Source organism: Homo sapiens, chromosome 9 (assembly GCF_000001405.40).
Source record: "Homo sapiens chromosome 9, GRCh38.p14 Primary Assembly".
In the NCBI taxonomy this organism is placed as follows: domain Eukaryota; kingdom Metazoa; phylum Chordata; class Mammalia; order Primates; family Hominidae; genus Homo; species Homo sapiens.
Window position 1 is genome coordinate 60,929,313 of NC_000009.12, and position 11,536 is coordinate 60,940,848.

At 39.1% G+C, this 11,536-nt stretch overlaps 1 long non-coding RNA gene across 1 annotated transcript; it reads left to right on the top strand.

The window, feature by feature from the left end:
* Positions 1-469: 469 nt before the first annotated feature.
* On the top strand, positions 470-6,415 carry FAM74A6 (family with sequence similarity 74 member A6). The gene is made up of 3 exons (NR_110999.1): positions 470-1,083; positions 5,927-6,010; positions 6,339-6,415. It is a non-coding gene; the product is annotated as a family with sequence similarity 74 member A6 (long non-coding RNA).
* The last annotated feature ends 5,121 nt before the right edge of the window (positions 6,416-11,536 follow it).

Genomic DNA, 11,536 nt, shown 5'->3' on the forward strand with positions numbered 1-11,536 from the left:
GAGTATCAAACAGTGTGGGCTTTTTTCAATGGCCATGGAATTGCAGAAGTGGGAGCATAGCCTGCAAATCAACTTCTCAGAGCCTGAGAACTGAGGATTCTTAATGAAGGGGCTGGGTATACAGAGGAAAGGGAGAAATATTCATAGCTTTTCTTGGGAAGGGAGGTAGGTTTTTTTGGAATCAAAGAGCCACCTCTTTTCTGCCTGTTTTTGGTCTCTTCTGGCCATTGTCATGGTGATTGTCAACTGTCAAGGTGCCAGTGGGAGTGTCATTTAGCATGGAAATTGGATCATAATGAAGCTAGAGGTTTTTCAGAGGTCAAGCTGCCATTGCGGATTTTGCCAGCTTCAGCCAGTTTAGTCCTAAGAAGGAACTTCTGACCCCAGACATCCTGTTTTCTAAAACTAAGCAGTTAAAGCTGAATGGGAATTTAGCTCTGTCACATAGGCATTTGTTGGGCAACAAAAGCAGGGTAGGGCTCCAGCTAAGCCACGTAGGCACTACGATGGGCAACAGAAAGGTTGGTTTCTGGGCAATTCAGAGAAACCAAGGACAGCTACCCCCAGAACTCAGAGTAGCCAACTGGGCTGCTCACAGGAGATGCCTTAACTGAAAGGTGATCAGACTCCACAGGAGACCCAGAGAAGATGTGGAGGGAGCTCAGAGGCTGTCCTGGAGGAGACGTGGAGACAGCTCAGAGGCTGTCCCAGAGAAGACGTGGAAAGAGCTCAGAGGCTGTCCCAGAGAAGACGTGGAGAGCTCAGAGGATGTCCCAGAGAAGACGTGGAGAGAGTTCAGAGGCTGTCCCGGAGAAGACGTGGAAAGAGCTCAGAAACTCAGAGACTGTCCCGGAGAAGACATGGAAACAGCTCAGAGGCTGTCTGCAAGAAGACGTGCAGAGAGTTCAGAGGCTGTCCCGGAGAAGACATGGAGAGAGCTCAAAGGCTGTCCACAAGAAGATGTGGAGAGAGTTCAGAGGCTGTCGTTACTGCTGCACTTGGCTGTTTTTCTTTGGATAATTATTGCAATCAATTTTAGTAATTCAGGTGTTAAATCACAGTCAAGCACCTATTTACCTAGTGGTGAGTTCCTTTATGTTGTGAGTTCAATGTCATTTGTGGGGACTGTGGTCCAGGGAGGTGTTGGGAGGATGAAGTTTTTTCTGAGTGACTTTGCAAACATAAAAAGTCATCTAATAAAGATGCTAGAAAAGCAAATATCCTAACTTCCTAGTCAGAAAAATGTCCAACACCATGTTTATTTAAGAATTTTTCACAAAAAAAAACAGTGGTGGGAGAAAATTACACATCTGGGCCCAGCAAGTAAGACTTTCCCTTCACAATTGTGCTGTGGGATCCCAGGCCTCGGGGGGCTACTGCCGTCACCGTCCCCAGGCTGTGGGCCCCTTTGTCAGCTGCTCTTCTGAAGGCAGGTCTCCTGTCCATGCCTTCCCCTTTGCTGTCCGGATGGAGATTGGAGATGCAGCATCATATACAGCTGACAGGTGTTAACCTTATTAGCTAATTCTGTTTCACGGGACACGATTTATACACTCCATGGAAATGCTTCTCACTGCCTTTTTTTACCACTTCAAGGTAGAAGTAGGTAATAGTGCTAAAGTCATCTTACTAGAATAACAAAGTCCATGGTTTGTTGTCCCTAAAAATATTTGTATTAGTTTACTAGGGCTGCCATAACAAAATACCACAGACTGAGTGGCTTAAGTAACATAAATTTCTTTTTTTCTTTCTTTCTTTCTTTGTTTATTTATTATTATTATACTTTAAGTTTTAGGGTACATGTGCACAATGTGCAGGTTAGTTACATATGTATACCTGTGCCATGCTGGTATGCTGCACCCACTAACTCGTCATCTAGCATTAGGTATATCTCCCAATGCTATCCCTCCCCCCTCCCCCCACCCCACAACAGTCCCCAGAGTGTGATGTTCCCCTTCCTGTGTCCATGTGTTCTCATTGTTCAATTCCCACCTATGAGTGAGAATATGCGGTGTTTGGTTTTTTGTTCTTGTGATAGTTTACTGAGAATGATGATTTCCAATTTCATCCATGTCCCTACAAAGGACATGAACTCATCATTTTTAAGAAAATGTGGCACATATACACCATGGAATACTATGCAGCCATAAAAAATTTCTTTTCTCACAGTTTTGGAGGCTGGAAGTCCAAGGTCAAGGAATCAGCACATTTGGTCTCTTCTGAGGCCTCTCTCTTTTCCCTTGCCAATGGCCACCTTCTTACTGTGTCCTCACATGATTGTCCTGTGGTCTGTGTGTGGTCTCTGTCCACATCTCCTTGTCTTACAAGGAAATCAGTCTTACTGATTAGGGCCCACCCATATAACCTAATTTTACCTCAATTACCTCTTTATAGGTCCTCTTTCCAAATACAGCCCCATTCTGAGGTACTAGAGGTGAGGACTTCAACATAAATTTGAGGCAACACAATTCTGTCCATGACAATTGTCCACCTTAGTTTTATGGTGAACCAAGGCTGTGAAAAAGACTTGACTTGGGGCCGGGCATGGTGGCTCACGCCTGTAATCCCTACACTTTAGGAGGCCAAGGTGGGTGCATAACCCAAGGTCAGGAGTTCAAGACCAGCCTGGCCAACATGATGAAACCCCATCTCTACTAAAAATACAAAAAGAATGAGCTGGGCTTGGTGGCGGGTGCCTGTAATCCCAGCTACTCAGGTGGCTGAGATGGGAGAATTGCTTGAACCCGGGAAGCGAAGGTTGCAGTGAGCCGAGACTGCACCATTGCACTCAAGCCTGGACAACAAGAGCGAAATTCTGTCTAAAAAAAAAAAAAAAAAAAAAAAGACTTGACTGAAGGCAGTGACCTAAGAGTGAAGCGATAACAGCTGGCAACTGTTCCGCAAGAAGGTGCAAAGCCCCTGCAGGCCTGGGAAGGTGCAGAGCCTGCACCTCAGATTTGACTCCTCTCATAGAATCATGGAATTTAAGTGAACCTCTTCCAGTATTAGGGAATCTTGAATGGAAACTCTAATATCTTAATCCCCAGTGTAACAAACTTTTACTACATTGTTCTCATGATGACAAATGTCTCATCAGAAAATGGCTTAAAAGTATAATTATTATGAAAGCAGACTGGCTTATTTAAAACAAACATAATCTGAAAACTGTAATCCAAAAAGTAAACATCCATATATATATATATATATATATATATATATATATATATATATATTCATTCATTCTCTTTGCTTTGAAACTTTCACTGAATGACCTTTGCCCATTTTATCGGTCACCATATTTTAGTGGTGCTATGCAGTGACTTTTGTAGAGTAATATCTCTCAAAGTGTGCAATGATCAATATTGTGTTGTCAAAAGATTCTGTAGTCAAAGAAGTTTGGAAAACTTTAATTTTTTGATTAAGCAAAGCAAGAAGTCTGAGTTTCATTTATTGGTTTACTATGAAAAGTGTTAGAGGCTTTATGATGTGCAAGAAGGACATGTGTCATAATATTTCTCAAACCTATTTGACTTCCAATACTTGCTTTTTTGTTTTTTCTTCTTTTGTGGAGAAATTTCAAAAACTTTGGAAAATACTTTTTAAGTGAGATTCAGGAGTTTGATAAGCAAGATGACAAATACTAAAAATATACACTCCAAATATAGACACAATGAATACTAAATAAACTCACTGTTTTTAGTCAACATTATTCAAGGATATCCAAAGTTTTTCATGGCATAAAATGCTCTTTTTCTTTTCAGTAATATGATACATGTGATATTCCTGGAAACTTAAAAAAAAATCATCATTTATGTGCTCTCTTGTCAGTTTCATGCTGTATTTTTGATGTAGAAGAAAGAATTTGGTATCTTCTCAGGAATACATTGTCACATAAAAATATGTAAACTCCTTCAGATAAATTCTCACCTTCTGCAGAATGAGTCAAACAGCAGGGGGAGAAGCTGAATCTAGTGTTCGCAGTGAGTGACCTGTCTTCCTCAACACTGTCATCTCATCCATTGTCTTGGATGCTCAAGAAACGGAACTATATAAATGTGGCTTCTGGCCTTCATATATTACAGTGCCAAAGCTTCAAAGAACCAGTTTTTATTTAATACTTACTTTGTTTCTTTGCATTTTTTTTCAAAAATACAATATGTTGTTATTAACTATAGTGACCATGTTGTGCAGTAGATCTCTTCTTGAATATTTCCCCTCTCTTAAATGAAATTTTGAATCCTTTGATAAACATCCCCACTCCCCACCCCAAGTCCAGCTCCTGGTAACCACCAGTCTACTCTCTACTTCTATGAGTTTAGCTTTTTCAGATTCGACATAAAAGTGAAATCATATGGTCTTTCTGTGCCTGGCTTGTTTCATTTAACATAATGTCCTCCAGGTTCATCCACGTTGTCACAAATAACAAGATTTCATTATTTTTTATGGCTGAATAGTATTTCATTGTGTATATATACTACTTTTTAAAATTCATTCATCCATTGATGGACACTTACATTGTTTCCACATCTTGGGCTAATATATAAATAAGATTTAATGTATATGGTGTTGCAGATATCTCTTCGACATACGGATTTCATTTCCTTTGGATATATACCCAGTAGTGGGATTGCTGGTTCATATGGTAGTTCATTTTTAATTTTTGAAGGAACCTCCATGCTATTTTCCATGATGCCTTTCCTTCAAGTCTTCTCCAACACTTGTTATATTTTGTCATTTTATAATAACCATCCTAACACGTATGGGGTGATATCTCAAAGTGTTTTTAATTTGCCTTTCTCTAATGATTAGTAATATTGAGCATTTTTTATATGCCTGTTGGCCTGTATGTCTTCTTTTGAAAAATGTCTATTTGGATCATTTGTCCATTTCTTATTGAGTTATTTTTGGTTGTCTCTTCACTCTGCTAGCACCTATTTTGTATAAGACAATAATGCTCTTACATTTTCAAAATACACAGAAGATAAAAAACATATAGTAAGTATGATACTTGAATTGTAGTGAGACATTTAAAATTTTCCAGGAAACAATTACTGTGTTTTATGGTTATAAGGAAGAAACATGTACATCATTTTGGGGAAGAAAAAGAGAAATTATGGAGTGATAAGTTTAAATTGAGAAAATGTCAACAAATACAATATACGAGAGAGGCTCTAGGCATTTCATTTACAAAAATATTGTCCAGTTTTTGTATGTGTGATGTGTGCTTGTTCCCTCTTTCCATATCTATCTCTGTCTGTCTTTCTGCTATGGTTTGAATGTATCCTCCAAAAGTTCGTAGATTGGAAACTTAATCCCTCTTCCCTCATGAATAGATTTATGTCAGTCCTGCCCTCATGAATGGATTAATGTCACTAGCATAGTAGTGGGTTCCTTATCATAAGCCCTTTTGCTCTTGCTCTCTCACTATGTGATGCCCCCTGCCATGTTGTTAGGCAGCAAGAAGGCCTTCTCCAGAGGCCAGCATCATGCTCTTGGCATTCCTAGGCCTCAGAGCTAAATACATTTATTTTCTTTATAAATCACTCAGTCTGTGGTATTCTGTTATAGCAACAAAAATATTAAGACACTCTTCCTATTTCCCCTACTCTCCTTCCTCCAGCCTCTTTCTTACACACAAAATGTTACTGAAATACCAGGAGTTCAATCTAGGTTCTGTTACTTGCACACAGAAAGCCAATCACTGAGACAATGAATATTGCCAAGGAAGAAGGCTTTAATTGCATGCTACAGCTAAGGATATGGGATATCAGTCTCAATTCCATCTCCTCAACCAGCCGAAATTAGGGGATTATATAGCAAGGAAGAAATGTAACTATGAGCAGGAAAACAGGAACTAGGGAGGGCTAAGGAAGCAATCATGACAAATAAGGAATCTGGCATCTGGCATCTCATTGTCTCGACACAGTGGTCTGATGAATTTCACTTCTTTGATACTTTTTGAGAGAGCTGAGAGTCCATTTCCTGAGGAAGAAACTCAGAGAAAACAAATGTAAGTTTCAAGCTTCAAGACCAGAAGGATTTGTTTCTATGTTTATATTTTTAAAATCTGTCTGTGGATCTATTGGGTGCATTTCAAAAACACATACAGAGGAAATCCCAGGCGCTGTGCTAGAATTGGGAATACAATGGTGAGTTCAAAGAGGAATAATTTTCCTATTCTCATGAAGCTAATAGTATAGGATAGAGAAAGCAAACACTAATCAAAGAACCACACAAGCATAAGATTGCAACTACAACTAAAAACCATAACCATTCAGTTAAGCTAAGGAGGCCACCATTGTCACCCTTCTCTTAACCTTTAATAATGTATTTTACAGGTAAAATCCTTAAGTAAGTCATATTTGGTTGGGAAGATCAAAGAAATCACCCAGTCTCCCACATCCGAAATTGTGCAGTCCGGACTGTCAGGAACAAAAGTGAAAGAGAGACGTCATCAAGGCCGGGCGCGGTGGCTCATGCCTGTAATCCCAGCACTTTGGAAGGCCAAGGAGGGCGGATCATGAGGTCAGGAGTTCAAGACCAGCCTGGCCAATATGGTGAAACCCTGTCTCTACTAAAAATAAAAAAATTAGCCAGGCGTGGTGGCAGGCACCTGTAATCCCAGCTACTTGGGAGGCTGAGGCAGAAGAATCACTTGAACCTGAGAGGCAGAGGTTGCAATAAGCCAAGATTGTGCCATTGCACTCCAGCCTGGGAGACAAAGCGAGACTCCATCTCAAAAAAAAAAAAAAAAAAAAGAATGACTAAAATTAAGAAGATTGATGATTCCAAATATTGGTAAAGATGTAGAACAACTAGAACTCCCACATATTGCTGATGAAAATGAAGAATAATACATTACTTTGGAAAATACTTTGGTACTGATTTACCATATGACCCCAAAATCTCACTTGTAGAAATTTATACAGGAAAAATGAAAACATATGCTCACAGAAAGCTTGTATACACATGCTTATGGCAATAAATTTATTTATAGTTGCCTATCAACAAGTGATGAACAAATATATTTTAGTATCTTGATACTACTTTCCAGCTAGAAAAGGAATACTACTAAGCAAAAATAGAGGATGAAGTAGTAATATACATAACATATATGAATTTAAAAACACCATGCTGATTGAAAGAAAACAATTATCAAATACACAGTGTAATATTCTATTCACAGAAAGTTTGAAAACAAAAAACTATAGTCTCTGAAAGAAAACCATTGGTTGCAGGAAGGTGGGGATTCATTGGCCACAAAAGGGACTGAGGAAACTTTTTATGGGTAATGGAAATATTTTATATCTTGATGGTGGCACCAATTATACAACTGTATGTACACATTTGTCAAAATTCTAATCGTATTATACACAACATGAGTGACTTTAACTGTCTATAAATTATATCTCAATAAAATTGGTCTTAAAAGATATATATATACACACACATAATTTAATATGTATTTTATATATATCTCTCTCTCTCTCGACAATGGAGTGAAATGTACTCTTTTTTTTTTTTTTTTTGAGACGGAGTCTCGCTCTGTCGCCCAGGCTGGAGTGCAGTGGCGCGATCTCAGCTCACTGCAAGCTCCCAGGTTCACGCCATTCTCCTGCCTCAGCCTCCTGAGTAACTGGGACTACAGGCGCCCACCATCACGCCCAGCTAATTTTGTTTTTGTATTTTTAGTAGAGATGGGGTTTCACCATGTTAGCCAGGATGGTCTTGATCTCCTGACCTCGTGATCGCCTGCCTCAGCTTCCCAAAGTGCTGGGATTACAGGTGTGAGCCACCGCTCCCGGCCTGTGAAGTGTATTCTTGTGATTAAATTGTCACTTAGCAAACATCCAGAATGCTAAATATCCATATTATTTCTCTTGTTTTGCCTTTCTCTCACTTTTTCTACAAGCACCATTTTGAAGAAAGCCTCATCAACTTTATTAATTATATTTGTGATCATTTGAAGACACAGAAAATTTTCTTCTGCAAAATATAAAGTCTTCTTTCATCTGCTCTCGTGATCCTTTTATTCTTCTGCCAAGTGATGTACATTAATTGATCAACTGAGTTATGCATGCATTTACTTTTTCACAGATCTTTGTTATGCCTGTACTAGTTCTATGCTAGGGATATGGTATGACACTGAACAGGATCAATATGGTCCCTGCTTTCACAGAGCCCACACCTAATGTGTGGATAGTCAGAACACAGTTACACAAACACAAGTGGGAAATAATTATAACATCTGATAGATCTGAAGTCAGTAGAAAAGGTATTGAAATGGAGAAATAGAAAGGGGCCTCGCTTTGATAATGAAATCAGAGACAGTTTCCCTGCAACTTCCTTAGAGGGCAAAAGCCATGTCCTTTCCTTCTCCTACCCCACCACTGACCCCAATAAAATACCGAGCACAGAATTTTCACTCAATAAATTACCTTAAAATGGATTTCAAAATATTTATAAAGCACATTTGTGTCCATTAAAGTATGAAAGGACATGTATTTGGAGCATAAAACCCAGCACATGATGGAAACATCACATAAATGAGGATCAAGAATCTAATTATGTAATGGGAAAATTTAAAAGAAATGTCAAGCTGGATAGAGTGTATTCTAAGAAAATGAATACATGTATAATAGCTAAATATTTGGCATTTGAGTTTCGGATGAAAAAATAGATGTAAAAGAAACAGTTTCCTTAATTAAGAATTTAATTTTGTGGGGCCGGGTGCGGGGGCTCACACCTGTAATCCCAGCACTTTGGGAGGCCGAGGCGGGCACATCACGAAGTCAGGAGATTGAGACCATCCTGGCTAACATGGTGAAACCCCGTCTCTACTAAAAAATACTAAAAATTAGCCAGGCGTGGTGGTGGGCACCTGTAGTCCCAGCTACTTGGGAGGCTGAGGCAGGAGAATGGTGTGAACCTGGGAGGCAGAGCTTGCAGTGAGCCGAGATCACACCACTACACTCCAGTCTGGGTGACAGAGCAAGACTCCGTCTCAAAAAAAAAAAAAAATTAATTTTGTCCTTTGGAAGGAGAGAAAGAAAAGGCAGTTCACCTAGACCATCACTTGCCTTTTTTAGTTGCAGCAAATGCCAGTTTTTAACCGGATATGTTTGCAATGTGTGAGTTCTTCTCCAAGTGCTAGCTAGGATGAGCTTCCATACACCGCACCCCCAGCTGTGGTAATGCTTTACTCATAGCCTGTCTCTCATCCATCTGCCTGAATTCCTGCAGAACACAGTTGGACCAGCAGCTCATATTTAATCCTCTCATATGATATTAACACCACTGGTCTCCATTTTTGATTTACATCTTAAAGCCTCCAGGCTGTAATTGTTTTACCACTGTATTTCATTATTTAACATCCACTACTTTTATGGAAAAAAATGTGTTTACTCCTGTATCTCATCTTAATGTTTCACTAACTGCTAAACTCACATTTTTTGTTCATTTGCATTGTTTCGAGAATCTAGATTGTATTTGTCTTTGGAAACAGTCACAGCCACTTCCAGAGGTCATTTCCCATAGACCCCAAACTTCTCTTCTCCCAGCCTTGGAGGTGCTGGGTTCTAGAAGGAGGAGGCAGTGAGTCCAGAAGCCCAGCCATATCAGGATGACATCTACCATTCATCTGTCCTCGTGTGTCTTCAGCGCCTCTTTCACATGTCTGTGTCCTTAGAGCTTGCTGGAACCATCTTTGCTTGTCTCTGTGTATTCTGAGTCTGTGACTATTTGGCTCTAGGAGTCTTCTCAACAAAGTACAATTTCTGTTGTCTTTTTCCAAAAAACTTTATGAATAAAATGAAAATATGAGTAATATAAAATCAAAATATATTTTGATTTCTCATTTCAAAATTATCTACCTCTGTAGTTTAATAGAACTCAATTATTGGCCCCAGAAGATAATTTTTTTCCCTAAAGTATTTTCTAAATAATAACCAGTAGTTGACCTACGTCCTTTATATATATCACATAGAAGATCTCCACAGTACATTCTTCAAATTCAGCTCAGATAATCCATGGAATGCTCAAGTTCCCTGTAACAAATTGAGCTCCTATATCTCTGTGGACTTATAATTGACTAATAAAAGTAAGACTGGTTTGCTAATGATAAAGATAATTTGTAAAAAATAAATCATTTTAGTTTGACCATGAGACGCACACATCCATTATCATTAAATGTGAAAATCTAGAATATATCCAGTTAATGGTCAAGTATCAACTTTATGTCCCACACTTGCCATGTAGAAGCTAAGCTTTTAAAATGCAGAATTATTTTCTACTTTTCTGTTATATGCATATATTATAAATGACAAGTATTTTAAACACTGGATTTTTTTAAAAATTGCTTTATTTTCTTCTGTTTTGACAAAAGTTGGCTTTCAAGTTTAATTAAGTTAAAAAAAAACGAACAACAAAAGTGTATTCCAATGGGAGACAGATAAAGCATCTTTCTTATCTAAAATACAGGACCAGGCGCAGTGGCTCATGCCTGTAATCCCAGTACTTTGGGAGGCCGAGGCAGGTGAATCACCTGAGGTCAGGAGTTCGAGACCAGCCTGACCAACATGTCTCTACTAAAAATACAAAATTAGCCGGATGTGTTGGTCCATGCCTATAATCCCAGCTACTCAGGAAGCTGAGGCAGGAGAATCACTTGAACCCAGGAGGCGGAGGTTGCAGTGAGCCAAGATCATACCATTGCACTCCAGCCTGGGCAACAAGACTGAAACTCTGTCTTAAAATAATAATAATAAAATAAAATATATATTTATATATGGTATATGAATTTGATACATTTTGCTTTATTTCAGGACTAATGTAATGCTACAGAAAAGGAATGACTCTAAACTCACTTAATTTCTCCTGACTATAAATAGCCCTTGACCACTTTCAACTTTCCCACTGATAACTCTATAACATAGGGCAAGTTACTTGACCTCACTGAGCCTATTTTGCCATCTATAAATCAGCTAATAGGACCTAACTTATAGGTTTGCTGAGAGGTATAAGTAAGACAATAGAGTCTAGCATATGGTGGGGCTCAACAAATATTAGTACATTACTTACACTTTTTTTTTTCACCCTGCTATGCCTTTCAGTTTATTTCTACTAAACTCTAAGTTATTAAAATACAGGCTGAAGTATTATTAATTTCCCTCTGTGTTCTCCCCAGTTCCTATCACAGTGCCAGGGACACACAGGCCCCATAATCCTTCATGGCCAATTGAACTGACAGTGAACTATGTCTTCGTCCATTTGGGATGCTACAACAAAATACCATAGACCGGGTGACTTATAAACCACAGAAATGTGTTTCTTATCGTTCTGGAGGCTGGGAAGTCCAAGATCACGGCATTGGCAGATTCAGTGTCTGGTGAAGGCCTGCTTTGTGGTTCATAGATGGGTGCTTTCTTGCTGTGTCCTCATGTGGTGATAGGGGCAAGCCAGTGCTCCTAGTCTCTTTGATAAGAGCACTAATCCCATTTCCGAGGGCCCATCATGACTGAATCACTTCTCAGCAATC